Genomic DNA, 16,387 nt, shown 5'->3' on the forward strand with positions numbered 1-16,387 from the left:
ACATCCACCTTTTCAGTAAAGCAAGAGAATGGAAGTTATTTGCTGAGGTAGGTGGCCGGGGTTGAGTGGCTGGTAGACATGAACAGAAGTAGTTGTTTTGGTAAACATGGTCAGGGACCAGCAAATAAGGCTGCGGAATGGCAAAACAGCAATGAGAGAATAAGCTATACCACCTCTCTCACCCACAAAGGACAAAAATACAGTTTATTTCTCCTTTAGCAATGCAGCAAGTAGGCAGACTAGGAAGAATCAATACAAGGAAAGGCCAGTATGAAGAAGATCCATTTGGGGACGAGGCCCACTCTTCCAATATAAAACCGAGTTGTCCGTTTTTTCCACCCTCACTACCAACTGCTCTACCTCAGGCCCTTATCAGATGAGTACTGCAACTGCTTCCTACCAGGCACCCAGGCTTCCAGCCTTTCCCCCCTCAGATTCATCCTTCGTTTCACTTATCACTCTATTGTATTTGTTTTTAATTAACTGTCTCACCCATTAGGCTATGAGCAACTTGAAGGCAGTCTTCCAGTCTTCTCTGTGCCCCTGGGGTCTAGCACAGAATGTGGAATGTAGTAGACACTCAGTAATGGTTCTTTGAACGAAAACCACTGGAGCGATATTTCTAAAACATAAACCTGATCATGCCACTTGCCTGCTTCAACATTTTAAATGATCCTTAGCATGGTACTCCAGTGCCCCCATGGGCTGATCCCATGTGCTTCCATAGCTTCATCTCCTGCCACCTTCTCCCCTTTCCCACCCATATCCCCGTCTTAAGTTAACCATACTTAACTAGGACATGCAGTTCCTCAGCAGGCTGTGTGCTCTAACCTTTGTGCTTTTATACATGCTTTCTCCCTATCTGAAATACCCTAGCAAAGTCCTGTGCAGTGATACCAGGGTGAGCCTTGAACATCCTTCTGCCAGTTACCAAGGTGAAACTAAAGTCAAAGCTTGTGGCCCGACCTACTTTTATCTTTCTTTGGCCTCCTCCGAAAATAGTTGAGCCTAGCCTATGTTCTTGTTGGGCATGTGGTAGTCTGGTGCCGAGGGTGAGTAGTGAGTCAGGTTCCCATGTGTTTTGTATATGTCCGTCACAGTTGTTCTGTGTGTGCCTTCCCAAACTATTTCTCACAATGTTCCCTCTGGTCTTTCTTCTAGCCAGCTCTCCGCTCCAACTCATTCCAAGTCAGTTGTAAAGGACTCTGAGGTCCCTGGTTCTGGATGGATGGTATTGACAAACCCTGTAAGCTTCCACGGCTAGGATGGAGGGCGAGACAGGGTCAGGCCTGGGCTAGGCTAGGTAGCTGAGAAATGTTCTGTTGCGGATATGTAGGTTGAGAAGCCGGATGTGTTTTCAAAAGCCCCTTCAGAAATCAAAGGCCTTTTCTGCACCTGCATGGGGGCCTGCCTATTGCTATTTGGACCAGATAGGAAGGGCTACTTACACAGCTCTGAAAGCTTGATGACAGGGGCAATTGGTTCCTATGTCGCTTATTTTGAAGAGGAGATCAGGCCATATTTCTAGCCTTTTGCTGAAGCTAGCAACTTAAGTTTTTAAAATTTCACCTCAAAAGAAAAGATATATATACACACTATTTTCTAGCTGAAGGTTTTCAATAATAGTAATGATCATCATGATGACCACAGTTATTAATGATGTATTATATGTATCAAAATTGCTAAAATAATAGATTTCTAATGTTCTTGCTACAAAAAAAATGATAAGTTGGTGGGATGATGAATATGTTAATTGGCTGGGCTGAATTTTTCTGCATAGTATACATAGATCAAAACATCACGCTGGAGCCCATAAATATATACAATTATTATTTGTCAATTAAAAATAAATAATAAAAATACTTCATAAAAAAATCACATAATAATTTTAAAATGGAACTGAAAAAAAACAGTAATTCTGGGTCCTTTAGACACTTTGTAAACACTAGTCCTAGATCCTATGTAAATACTAGTCCTAGATCCTATGTAAATACTAGTCCTAGGAAGTATTTTCTTTCTTTCTTTCTTTCTTTTTTTCTTTTTTTTGAGACAGAGTCTTGCTCTGTTACCCAGGTTGGGTGCAGTGGTGCGATCTTGGCTCACTGCAACCTCCACCTCCCAGGTTCAAGTGATTCTCCTGCCTCAGCCTCCTGAGTAGATGGGATTACAGGCGCACACCACCACGCCCAGCTAATTTTTGTATTTTTTTGGTAGAGACGGGGGTTTTACCATGTTGGTCAGGCTTGTCTCGAACTCCTGACCTTGTGATCCGCCTGCCTCGGCCTCCCAAAGTGTGGGATTATATAGGCGTGAGCCACCACGCCCGACCCTAGGAAGTATTTTCTAAGTTCCAGTGCCATCAGAGCTTATAAAATTTTTAGAGGCAAATCAGTGAACTTAAGCAACCCACTCCCAACCAGTCTTTGTCTCTCTCCATATACACCCTGTTCCCAGAGATGGAGGGAGGAAAGAAGAAAGCTGCTTTTATCCTTTGCTGTGGCCTGGGACTGCTGGGGCTTTAAATCTTTGTATGTTTGTGTAGGAGGGTGAGGATGGGGACTTTCTGACTGCTATTCATCCACCTATTCATTCAATTTACTCATTCAACATATATTTATTAAGTAACCTACTGTGTGCTGGGCACTTGGTAAAGGGATATAATCTTATCTATCCTGCCAGTGGCTTCTCCCAGGTCTCTGAGGGTGTTTGGAGCTCATACCCTCTTCTCTTTAACAAGCGTGACAGTTAAAAGAGTAAGGGCTGGTATGGACAAAAGCAGGAAGGTGCCTGGGGTAGTAGTCATTGAGGTGAGTCATGGAGGAGCTGTATTTTCCTGAATTATTCAAGATCCATTTTGTTTCCCCAATTTGTTGAGGCTTTTTCTACACGTGAGATCTAAGAGGGTGTGAGGATGAGACTTAGGGGTGACTGGCAGACTGTCCTGAGCCCAAAACTGTACCTTGAGTACCAGTGATGATTCCAGACCACAGTGTTTCAACCCTCAACACAGAAGCAGAATCCTGGACTGGCTACCGAGGGGCCCCTGCCAGCTGCTGGCTCCAAAGTTGGTTTTGTCTGTGGGCTAGATCGGTGTAAGTTGGGGTCCAGGCTGCTCGCTCAGCAGCCTGATTGATCTCCAGGGCTCTTTTGTCTCCTCCTCCCCAGTGGAAGCCTCTCCCCCTCTTCCCCTCTCCCCCTCTCCCCCTCTCTCCCTCTTCCCCCTCTCCTTGTCTCCTTCTCTCCCCCTCTGCTTCTCAGGCTCTTCCGCTTTCCTCCTCTGCTTCTAATGAATTGACATCTCCAAGAGCCGCCACATCTCTGGTAGTTTTACAAAACTGTCCTTGCTCTTCCTGCGTTTGCCCAGTCAAGGGTATTTTTGCCTGAGGTCGGAATGATGCTGTTAGTCCTGGTGATATGATTGCATAGCAACACAGAGCAGCTCTGAGAGGGGAGGAGGAGGAGAAGAAGGAAGACAGGGAAGTGGGAGAGACAGAGGGAGAGTGTGCATACAGCAGCTGTCGGCATCCCTGTCTCAGGGACTTCTTTGCTGATTCACAGAGGCAGCCCAGCCCCGGCCTCCCAGCTTACAGCTGCCGCCTGCTTCTCAGACCTGACGGAATCAGAAGGTAGGCCACAGAAAAATTATTTCCAAGCCTTGGCCTTGTTCAGCTGGCTGAGGGGAAATGACTGAGGGAGGGGAAGCTCCAGAGGTACTGTGTGGCGGGCGAGGGGTGGGGGGAGAGAGGGAAAATGAGTGTGTGTGTGCGTGTGTGTGTGTGTGTGTGTGTGTGTGTACGCGTGCCTGCCTGCGGTCTGCTTGCATGTGCCTTTAGTGGAAAACTTGCATTTAAAAATGCCCACAATAAAGTAGTCACCATTTAGATTCATAAAGAAAAAAAAAAAGATGCCCAAGAATAGAAACTCAAGCCGATTTGAGCAACTAAGGTCTAAAAATGAATAAGAAGGAGGTACACAGTTTGCTTCTTTGAGAAAAGAGGGGCATTTATTTATTTTAGGTTCTCAATAGCATGCTTTTTGTCCAAGGGTATACTTCTTGGCAGGAGGGAAGCAAAGGTGTGTGGAAAGCCTTGGCTAACAAGGGAGGAGAGAGGAAACATGGGACCTTGGAGCAGGTTCCCTGAACAAATGAGTATTCTGGCCAGCAGACAGGACACAGGAGTTCTTTGCTGAAGTAAACCAGGCTCTGACCTAAGAGCCTGGAGCTGAAGGGCTCATCTCATCTCTGTATTTACTTCCTGGCTCTGTTGTTTTTCCTGTGACATTTTTCCCCCTTATCTTCTCCCCTGGTTTCCTTTCTACACCCTGTAATCAGGAGGCATCTTTCCACTCTTGAAAGCATAGCTTGGAGTGGTTTCAAATAGGGCTTGCTTCTCTTGGAGTCCAACACCCTATCACCTTCTGCTCTCACCACCTTTCCCAGCATCGGACCAAGTGCCCCAGCCTAGTAAGTGGGCCTGAGACTATATGGGTAGTTAATGTTTATCCTTCCTTTGGTAGGCAGGTCGAGCCAGGCCTCACAGGTGTTGGGTCTAAGCAGGTGGCAAGGCTGGGCTGGGGTGGGGTGGAGTGGGGTAGAGGAGAACGTCAGCAGCAGCTGCTGCCTGCTTCCGTTGAAAGCATGGTGCATGCTGTCTGGAAAAGAACATACTTTTTAAAAATGTTTTCTTTTTGATTGTCAAAAGAACAAAAGCCTTAAAAAAGCTCTATGTCTAGTTCATCTTAATTCCTGACTTTTCCAAAGAATCCTTGTTTCTAGATGAAAGGCCCTCAGGTAAATCACCTTTTAAAAGGCCTGTGGGAACCACAAGCCTCAGGTGATTTTCCTTCTAAGGTTTGCGTGGGGAGATGATCCCAGAGAATCTCAGGGCCTTCTAAGGAAACCTCCGTGAAAAGGCAGTGTTGGAAGTGGCAGTGTTGTGTCCTGTTTCTGAAAGAAGACCAAGCCCCTCTGTCTCTGGGTTGGCAGGCCTCTGTCCTGTAGTCTTGCTTTCTGTAAACCATTGCTGGGGGATGAAGGCACATGGAAAGAACTCCTCTTCCTGTGAGATTTGTACTTCTAGGCATTCAGCCTCAGCTAAGTAGCTCTGTGCTCCAGGTCAGATTACCCTTCAAGTCCACCATAAAGGAGGGGAGCATAGCTTGAAGCAATGAATTTAGCAAAGGCCCTGAGCCAGATGCGGAGAGCACATCTGCGATTCAGCCCTTCTAACTATGGATGCTCAGAAGTTTCTGATGTTGGATCTGCCACCATGCCAGCTAGGATGGGGTCTCACTAATGAAGGCCAAGAAGATAGTCTTCTAAACTTCTCAGGGATACACACTCAGAGGAAACCCATTCAGTGGAAATTATACTATGAAATGACATTCCTCCCTTATGAAGGATTCTAAACATGCATCAGCAACAAAAATAGCAAGTGAGATAAATCCTTCTAGGATAGCATTTACCAAACCAATGTTCTATAGAGCCCCATCCTGAGAGAATGTTAATAGATTCTGTTTTAAAATAAGTGTTGGGGGTGTGTGTGTGTGTGCATGCATGTGTGTGTATTCTGCAGTTCAATACTTTTTTGGAAATGCTTCTTAACCGAATTCTCATTTTGGAGAGTCACAGTGTATGTAACGCATATTAAAGACTCTGAGAAGTACTGCTGTAAATGAATGTTTAATTTTGTTTAACCCAGTACATCCCAGACTGGTTTGACCAGGGAACACTTTTCTGTATGGAAAACACTTTTTGCCTCTTGCAGATACAGTTTGGGGAACTGCTGCTAAAAAAAAATAATAAAATAAAAAATAAAAAAATAAAAAACTGGAAGAAATCGTCACATGGATAACACTTGTAAAATAATCTAGTCCAACAATGCATTTCTAAACATGAAAAACCCAAGAGGTTAATCATATTGTTTTCCTTCCCATAGCTGATGAGAATCTGGGATTATCTCCTGATTCCCCAGCCCACTGTACCCAACTGCTGCTTCTCTAGCAGGTCCCCTCCTGTGAAACTAGTTCCAGGAAAATGAAGCAGATTTAAGGAATAATCCTTAAATTTTGAGTGCAATATTTACATTTAATACATTTCTTCTAGTATTTTGCTATATGCAAAAATTGTCAACTTTCTTTTCAGCATGGGCTTTGTTGCATTCTTTTAAACAATGTGTTATGAAATATCTTTGTTCATTCAAAAAGGTATAAAAATAATATGGTGAAAATCAGGTTATTCACTGCCCAGCTTAATAAAGAAACATTACCAGTAGAGTTGAAACCTTCTGTCTATTCTCCATGATTAAAGTTCTCTCTTTCCTTCCAAAGTAACCACTATCCTGGATTTGGTGTTTATTATTCCCATGCATTGATTTATATACTTTTACTACACATGTATATATTTTTAAACAACATATACTACTGCTTTATATGTTTTAAAAGTTTGTATCAGTGGTGTATCATACGTATTCTTCTGCAACGTGATTTCTCTTTTCTTTTTTCTCCCCGCCAAGAGACGAGATCTTGCACTGTTATCCAGGCTGAAGTGAAGTGGTGTGATCATAGCTCACTGCAGTCTCGAGCTCCTGGGCTGGAGCAATCCTCCAGCCTCACCACCCCCCAGGTGGCACCACCATGCCCAGCTAATTTTTTTTCCTTCATAGAGACAGGGTCCTGCTATGTTGTCCAGGCTGATCTCAAACTCCTGGCCTCATGTAGTCCTCCTGCCTCAGCCTCCCAAAGTGTTGGGATTACAGCCATGAGCCACTGCACCTGCCTTGAAACTTATTTTTTCTATTCAATGTTATATTTGTGAAAAGCATCCATGTTGTAACACGGGTCTCTAGTTTACTCATTTTTTTCACTATTGTATACTCCTGTAATGACTATACCACACTTTATCTATTCTGCTGTTGATGGACATTTAGGCTATTTCTAGTTTTGAGCAATCACAGAGGTACTGTGATCATTCTTGTGTAGCTATTCTTAGGTGACAATTTCTACTGGGTAAATATCTGGGTGGAATTGTCCCCTTACAGGGTATGTGCATTGTCACCTTTGGGAGATATTGTCAAATCACTGTGCAAAATAGTTTACTAACTTACACTCCCACCATCAGTGTATAAAGGTTTCAGGTTTATTGCATTAATTGGCTCTTAGAGTTTTCTCCCATGGGGATGCATCTCTGATTTTTTAATTGGATAATAAATTTTATTTCTCAAAATTGCTTGACAGCTAAACTTCTCAGGAATACGTTTCCTTGTTTTCATTTGTAAATGAGGGGATTGGCCTAGATGATCTCAAAGGTCCTTTCTAGCTTGAAAATCTGAGTTTCTATGATTTATTCATTAAATCAGGTACATCTGAAGCAGAACCTTGGTTTTTTGGGTGCATTGCAGGAATTATTTTAGGAACTATAACAAAGTTTGTTACCAGTGAAATGTGTATCTTCTCTCTTACTGCCATGCTGTCAGGTAGAAAGCCAGTGGTATGAGAGAAAAGGCAGTTACACAGTGTTACCTTGGATTGGGGAGAGGATTCTGTAGCCCATGGGAAGGGGGTCGCCTTCCCATTGCCCTGTTCTTTACAGAACCTCTACATCTTAGAAGTCTTCCCTATCTCTTGAATTTTTTCTCCCAAGAATAATAAATGTTTGCTGGGTTTTTTTTGTTTTTTTTTTTTTTTTTTTTTTTTTTTTTTGAGATGGAGTCTCGCTATGTCACCCAGGCTAGAGTGCAGTGGCACAATCTCGGCTGGGAGGCTGAGGCAAGATAATCACTTGAACCCAGGAGGCGGAGGTTGCAGTGAGCCGAGATCATGCCACTGCACTCCAGCTGCACTCCAGCCTGGGCGACAGAGCGAGACTCCGTCTCAAAAAAAAAAACAAAAAAAAGCCCAAAAAACCCGGATGTCCAGGCTTCCTTTCTGCGCATGCGCACAGTAGATTTTTTAAAAATGTTTTTACAAAATTGGAGTTCCACTAAGCATGCTATTCTGGCATTTGTTTTCTTTGGCCTAAAATATATAACTTTGAAATCTGTCCAAATCAGTGCATATAGATCTACCTCTTTCTTTTTAACAGCTACATAATATTCGCCGTGTGAGTGGCTATCGTAATAGATAACATTTGAATATCTACTAAATGCCAGAAACTATGAATTAACTCCTCTCAACAAAGCTAAGAGGTAGGTCTTTTTGTTATCCCTGTTTCACAGATGTGGGGACTGGAGCACAGTAAGGTTGGGGAGCTTGTCCATATATGTGCCGATAAGTGGCCAAGGTGCAAGCCAGAGCATCCTGGTTCAGAGCCTATGTCCCAGACAATAATGCTGTGATATGTCTCAGACATAGTCTACTCACCAGTCCCCCGCTGGTGGACATTTGAGTGAATGCAGATTTTTGCTATTGCAAACAATACTGCAGCAAACATCTTTGTCCACTTCTGGAGGTCTTTTTGTAACATAGGCTCTTAGATTTCTCTGGTTTCTAGGTGGAAAGAGCTTATTTATTGAAAAAAAAATTTATTGAGCTCTAGGCATTGGGGAGGCTCTGAGCTTAAAATAGGAGACTTGACCAGAATTTCACTTCTCAGATGTCCTATAAAGGTCACTTAAGTGCTTTTCATGATTTGCCAGCCTGGTGCTGCCCCATTAGACTCACTGCATCTTATCTGTTTTTAATTGCTTGTGTCTTTGCCTGGGTAGTGGCATAACTGAGTCAATGCTTGGGCTCGCACCTGGTGGTCTATAGCCAAAAATTGTCTCCATTGTATCCATTGTATGGATACACTTTCCAGGTATCAGTGATTACAATGCCTCAGAGCCTGGGTTCTAGAATTTACAGAGGCAGAATAGCATAATGATAAATAACTTGTATTCTGAGACACAACTGCCTGGGTACAAATCCCAGCTCTTCACGATGTATTCACAATATGACTCTGAACAAGTTACTTACCATCTCTGTGCCCCCATTTTCTCATCCACACAATGAGGATAGCAATAGTAACTACTTTATAGGGTTGTTGTAAGGATTAAATGAGTTAATGTATGTAGACTGCTTAGTTAATATATATAAAACACAGAATACAGTTATTATTTATTTGATTATGGAAAAGCTGGCACACCAATCTTTCCATAAAATAGTTGTTGACCTCCTTGTATTTTGGTGGGGAGCGGAGAGGGGGCGAAGAATTAGCTGTTATTAAATAGGTAATGTGTTCACATGGGTCAAAATTCAAAAAGTACAAAATGATATTTAGTAAAAAATTTTATCTCCTATTGGCAACATGGGGCTTATGTGGTGTGGGGAATAATTCTGTTTCTCAACCTGAGAAGTGATTATATGAATTTACTTTATAATAATTTAATATACTTTACATATATGCTTTATGTACTTTTATAGGTATATTTCTCATTTTGAAAAGGGCAGAAATAGTAGAAATCCCAAAGACATGGGGAGAATTTTTACTGCTCAGTTCCCTTCTCCAATGGTAACAGGCTCTTTTGTATACTTCCAAAGATATTTTTTTGCATCTATAAGCACATATTTTTAGTATACAAATGTAGACTAACCACCACCTTGATTTTTCTCTTGTTTTCTTTTTACTTAAGGTATATCATAAGAGATCATTTTGTATTGGCATATAAAGAGTTCTTAATTATTTTTTAAGTAGCTGTATAGAATTCCATTGTATGGATACACCATTATTTAATTAGTCCCCTAGTGATAGACGTTTAAGTTTTTGCAATTTTTTTTGCCATTTCAAGCCTTGTTTCAAATGCTGACATTGTACTTATTATTGTACTTGTTTCAAATGCTAACATTGTACATTATTCCACACAAATTTAAGTAGCATATGTTCCTATACATCTCCAGTTTATGGGTGCCTAGCACTGTGTTAAAAATATGTGGGATATAAATAAATATCAGGTGTGGGTTTTGTCCCCCATGAGCCAACAATCTTGCTTTCATGCTGAAATCCTAATATCTCCCCTGTGTTTTTAAAGCTTTTTATCTCTGCTCAAGAGAAACAATGCCTTCCCACTGAATCCTCCTCAAACAGCCTGTGTATGGCTTTTAGAACCAGGAAGAGTATTTGTAGTAGCAAAAAGCCACAGTTTGGTATCCAGCAGGGTCCCTAGGGGAGGGCAGGGAAGGCTTATTGCCACCCAAAAAGCATCCTCCACACCTGCATATGTCAAAATCTTCTCTTTCACCTTAGCTCGAAAGCTTCTTTTCCATAAATACATCCCAAATCCCTCCAACTAGAAGTGAACACTTCCTCCTCTGTGACCTCTTATACCATAATTTCTGTGTCTTGCTGTCTCAGTCCATTTTCTGTTGCTTATAACAGAATACCTGAAACTGAGTAATTTATAAGAAAAGGAATTTATTTCTTACAGTTATGGAAGCTGAGAAGTCCAAGTTTGAGGGGCTGCATCTGGTGAGAGTCTTCTTGCTGTCATAAACTCTCTGAAGCATCCCAAGATGGCACGGAGTATCACATGGCTAGAGGGCTTAGTGTGCTAGTTCAGATATCTCTTCCTCTTTTTATAAAGCCATGAATTCTCCTCCCGTGATAACTTATTAATTCATTAATCCATGAGTGGATTAATCCATTCATGAGGGCAAAGCCCTCATCACCTCTTAAAGGCTCCAGCTCTCAATACTGTCACATTGGGGACAGATATTCAAACCACAGCACCCACGTATGGTATGAATAATTTTCCCCGCTAAAATTATCCTTTTTTTTGTTTGTTTATATGTCTTGTTTCCTACATTTGACCAGTTGGGGACCAAGTCTGATTCATCTTCAATCTCTCATAGCCTTTGCAAATTAAAAAGAGGAATAGGAAAAAAATCAGTATGTGCAGATGGTGATTTGAGATAGGATGGAGCTAGATAGAGGCAGAAGAATCTTTGTGTATAACAAAGAGTACTCGCCCAGGAATCAGGAGGCCCTGGTTCACTTGTGTCTCAGCATCTTCATCTGTAAAGTGGGATCTTAATTCTGACTGGGACAACTTTACTAGGTTGTACTGAGGATCATGAAAGACAGCACAGCCGACTACAAAGGCATGCTATATGAATACAGAGAATGATAGTGTTTGGTGCTTAGCAACCCTTAAACATTAACACTTGATACATTAGCAAACTAAGGCCTAGAGAGGCAATATGACTTGAGGTCACAGTCAGGGGCAAAGTCTAAAAAGAGCAGAGGATAGTCATTTTAGGACCAGAAGAAATCTATTCCTTTTCTGCCTGTGTTAGGATTAGAAGGTCTGAATTCTCTGACTCCTTGGTTTATCTTAGTTTTGTTTTGTGAAGCCTTAACCTAGCATCAGGTCAGTAGAGGAATAAGAAAGAATCTTATAATCTGGAGAGAAATGAATCTCAAAAGAGAAGAAAAGAGATAGTTGATGAAAGAAGAGATACAAACGACCACTAAAAGTGTGGAGGAAAAGCTAAATATCTTTAGCAATTAAGGAAACGCAAAGTAATCCTCAAAATGCCATTTTCACTTACAAAGTTGGCAAATAAAGTAAGAATACATACTGTGGACAAGTGTGCTGGGAAACTGGCACTCTCATACATTGCTAGTAGTAGTGTAAAATGATATAACTTTTTCTAGGGCAATTTAGACATATGTATCATAAACGCTTTGATCCAGGAATTCTCCCTTATAGGCAATTATCCTATGGAAAGAATCACAAATATGCACAAGGTTGTTCACTGCACTTTGATTTATAAAAAAGAAGAACTATAAACATATGTCTAATTGTTAAACTATGGTGTATCCATTCAGTGGGATACTATACAATGACGATAGCTAACACTTATTGAGTTGTGTATTGTTGCCAGACACTGTGCTAAGTTATTTAAATTATTAACTTTAATCATTAGAATAATTCTGTGAGGATGCTATCATTATTTATCCCCATTTTGCAGATGAGGACACTGAGGCTCAGAGAGGTTAACTTGTCCTGGACCACACTGCTAATAGGTTGAATAGTGTGGATTTGACTCTAGGTCTGTCTGATGCCAGTGCCCATGGCCTCAGTCACAGTGCTGTACTTCCTATGCAGCTGTTAAAAATCATGTTTTAGGCTGGGCGTGGTGGCTCACACCTGTAATATAAACACTTTGCGAGGCTGAGGCAGGCTGATCACTTGAGCTCAGGAGTTTGAGACCAGCCTGGCAACATGACAAAACCCCGTCTCTACCAAAAATACAAAAAATTATCCAGGCATTGTGGTGCACACCTGTAGTCCCAGCTACCTGGGGGTACTGAGGCAGGAAGATCTCTTGAGCCTGGGAGGTTGCAGTGAGCCAAGATCACGCCAGTGCACTCCAGCCTGGGTGACAAAGTGAGAGACCCTGTCTCAAAAAAAAAAATCATGTTTTAAGGGAATAGTTAATGACATTCTAAAATGACCATGATATAATGGCAAGTGAAAAAAGCAGGCTACGAAATGATAGCATGTGATGGCGATTTTATTTTAAAAGTGTATGTATATATTTTTCAGAGAAAAACTAAAGTTCATAGCTGTTAGTAATGATTATCTCTGGGTGGTAATATTACAGATTATTTTTATTTTCATCCTTATTATTTTTTGTATTTCCCAGTTTTTCTATCAAGAACATGTATTACTTCTATAATCAGCAAAAATAAAAATGTTAACATAAAAAGAGGTCTGAAAGCAAGCCTCTTGTAGCCTTTATGCTTATAACACATCCATAGCAGTACTTCATTTTTTAATCTAAGTGACTAATGCTTTTGTGGTGTCTGATCACAGAGGAGCCATATTTTCAGTCATTCTTTGGGGATGAGTAGCTACATAGCTGTATAATCTATAGGGACTTTGACTACAACAAAGTACCCTTTAGACCACAACCTCTTGTGCCCTTGTGATTTGTAATAATCTCCATTCTTTGGACTATGGTCTCCTGAGGAGGAGGGGTGGGTACTTAATGCAAGGAGTCCACATATCTTTAAATGCATAAATGTTTTTCTCACTCGGTAAGTTCTAAAAGTACAGCTACTATTGTGGGTGAGAGTGGGTGAAGTGAGATTTTTTTTTTTTAGTCTTAAGAAGGGCCTCTTATATCTAAAACATTGTGAACCACTGGAATAGAGTCTAAAAATGGTGGTTATTTAATTATCTGCATCATGAATAAAAGATGCTCAGTTCCGGCCCTTTGAATCAGGGTTTGTGTGTCTTTGCCCCACACTAAAAGAGATCACCTTATTATTTGCAAGCATCATCTTTGCCACCCATTCTCATCACATTTGTTTACATTCTCTAAACCATCAATTGGTTTGTACATCTAAACTTTGTCCCCATATTTCTCCTTTACTAAGCTTAGCTCTTTACATCTAAAGCTGAATATGTCTCAAGCATAGCTTATTATGCAACACTGCCCCTATTCCCTACACAGCAAATTTACTCTTTCTCCTGTCTTCCTTCTCTTGCTGTTGGCAACATTATCCACTCAGCTCCCAAATTAGAAACCTTTGACTCCTTCTCCTCCCTTACTGTTCACATCCAATTGATCATCAAGCCCAGTGTATTTTACCTCTCCAATGTACCTCAGAGTCATGCTGTCTGCTTCATCCTCACGGCAACTGCCTGCCTATTCTAACAGCTTCTCAACAGGTTCTTCCTTTTGGAGAATCACTCTATAAGGAAGGCAGGGGGCTCTTTCTAAAATGCAAATCTCGGCCAGGCACAGTGGCTCATGCCTGTAATCCCAGCACTTTGGGAGGCCGAGGCGGGTGGATCACCTGAGGTCAGGAGTTCAAGACCAGCCTGGCCAACATGACGAAACCCCATCTCTACTAAAAATACGAAAAATTAGTGGGGCATGGTGGCAGGCACCTGTAATCCCAGCTACTCAGGAGGCTGAGGCAGGAGAATCGCTTGAACCTGGGAGGCAGAGGTTGCAGTGAGCTGAGATCGCGCCACTGCACTCCGGCCTGGGCAACAAGAGCGAGACTCCCGTCTAAAATAAATAAATAAATAAATAAAATAAAATGCAAATCTCATTATGTCACTCCCTGCTTAAAATCTTCAGTGCCTCCCCATTGTCTACAAGATAAAGCCTACAATCCTCTGCTTGTCATTCAAGGCATGGCCCAATGTGGCCACAGCCTCACCTCCTGCTACACACAACAAGGCACCTACCTTGTACTCTGGTCACACGGAACACACCATATATTTAATTTTCATGTTTGTATTTTTTTTAACCTTCACTGCCTAATGACAAATCTGTTTCTCTTTCATGACTCACCTCAAGCACATTTCCTCTAGGGAGACTTTTCTTGACATGACCAGATAGAACTCACGATTCCCTCATCTGTCTCTTCACTTCATCCCATAAACAATTCCATTATGACCTCAAATAACACTTTATGGCCATTATTTTCTCCACATTTGTTCTCTCTGTATGTGATACTCCTCAGGGGAAGCCCCCATGTCTTTTTCATCTCTGTGCCTCTTAAACTCTAACCATACCGATCCCATTGTCCTCTGAACATGCTAGGCCTTTTTATGACATCCACCTTTGCACAGGTGGATCTGTCTGCTGGGAATGCCATTCTCCCTTTCTCCTCTGCACAAGCAAATATCTACTTATCTTTTGAGACTCATCTCAAGTGTGCTCTTTCTGAAATACGTGCATATTCTCAGAGTTAGCTGTTCCCCACTCTGTGCTCCCTTAGCCTTTTGGTAAACTCTTGATTTTAGCATTTGCTATGTAAGCATTTTATTATAATTATCAGCATACATGACTGCCTCCCCTACCCATCTTGCCCACCTCCACCCTTAGGCTTTGAGATCTCAGCAGTTATCTTTATGTCTCTAGCACAAAGCACTATAGGTAAACAATAAATGCTTCCTTGGTCAATAATTAAATAAAGTATTTTATGGTACATGGTGGCCTGGGTAGGTCAGTAAGTTTTGAATACTTATTTGTATATCTGGTCAAGGCACCTCTGGGTAGATGCTTGATTCATAGGCTTTTCTAGGTCTTGACTCGAAATCTCTCTGTATTGCTTTTCCAGGTGCTTAATGATCAATAGTTGGTGCACTGCCTATCCTCATCCCCCCCATGAGCCTTGGTTTTTATGCAACCTATGGTCATGCAGGGATGCCCTTACACCCTCCCACGATGTCATGACTGGCAGGCAGCTGACCAGTTCCATCATAGCAGCAGCCTCCGAAGCACCTGCCCCCACCCTCAGGTAAGAGTCTGATAGTGAAAGAAAGACCTGTGGAGAAAGTGGACACAGGATCTGTGTGTCCTTGGGGTACCCACGCTTCCTAAGGCTCAGGGGCACTCTCTGTATACATGCAACCCCTTGGATAGCATGGGGAATATATTGGGCCCATCCTTTATTACTCATTATGTCTTTTATTGGGGGGCATAAGGAAAGGAAGGGTGTTGGGCTGGGCAGCTCAGAGGGCCCACTGCAGCTGAGCGGGGCTGGTTCCATGTTAACCTTCTAAGAGTTACAGGTCCAGGAATGTCCTAGAAGAGTATGATCCTTCAGGGCATGGTCTAGGACTAGGCAGGTCCTTCCTTTGGCTTGGCTTCTCTGTGGCATGCCTTCCATTTTCCACAGGTGTCTCTCTCCTGCCATCGGCTTTTCCTCTCAAGTTCCTAGCCTTTTTCATAGCTCCTGGCTCATCCCCACTTAGAATTCCATGAGCTCCATATCTGCCTGTCCTCTCTGCTCCTGTAGTAGTGCGATGGTGGTGGTGTATGTGTCCGCCTGTGTATGTTGGTAGGCAGGTAGAGGATGTGTGTGAGACAGTAGAGAGGGCAGCCCCCTTTCCCGACAATGAGGGAGGTCTAGGGAAAGTTGACTGGAGAAGGGAGACGCATAAGCATACTTTGGTTGCCCTACAATGCTTTGGGGTCCAGAGACTATGGGGGTGTGAGAAAGTGCTATGTCTCCTGGAGCCTCACAGATGGGCTGCAGTGCTGAGTCACTGCTGGGAGGCAGGCAGCGGCCGAATATACAGGAAGGAGGAAGGGAGGAAGAAAGGAAGTGGGGATGGAGAATGTGGATGCTGGGGAGCCTGTTTTGGGGGCAGTAATGAAGGAAAGTCAAGGTCCAGAGAGACATTAGAGTCAGGTCCCCCTGAGCTATTTTCCCCACATCCAGCTAGAAAGAAATTACTGCCTCGAACATATTCTCAAAGCGAGAGTCAACATAGACTCCCCCATTAACCTACCCCTTCCCCGGAGTGGGACTTTCACAGGGTCGAGGGATTAAGAAAACTGAGCCCTTCCAAAGGCTTACCCTGTTCATTGTCTACCCCCTCCAAACACCACCATGTAGGCAGGGAAACCTGAGGGCTTCATTTTGTGATTGCCAATA

At 42.4% G+C, this 16,387-nt stretch overlaps 1 protein-coding gene across 4 annotated transcripts in view; it reads left to right on the top strand.

The window, feature by feature from the left end:
• DRP2 (dystrophin related protein 2) overlaps positions 3,266-16,387 on the top strand; it is a 44,717-nt gene continuing 31,595 nt past the window's right edge. For 2 of the 4 annotated variants that reach the window (NM_001939.3, XM_017029333.2), the window contains exons 1-3: positions 3,266-3,626; positions 8,084-8,186; positions 15,065-15,244. In NM_001939.3, coding sequence (NP_001930.2) covers positions 15,128-15,244 — 117 coding nt within the window. In that variant the 5' untranslated portion in view covers positions 3,266-3,626; positions 8,084-8,186; positions 15,065-15,127. The remainder of the gene's footprint in view (positions 3,627-8,083; positions 8,187-15,064; positions 15,245-16,387) is intronic. The other 2 variants (XM_047441894.1, NM_001171184.2) reach the window with 2 other exon arrangements.

This window comes from Homo sapiens, chromosome X (genome assembly GCF_000001405.40).
Source record: "Homo sapiens chromosome X, GRCh38.p14 Primary Assembly".
Lineage (NCBI taxonomy): Eukaryota > Metazoa > Chordata > Mammalia > Primates > Hominidae > Homo > Homo sapiens.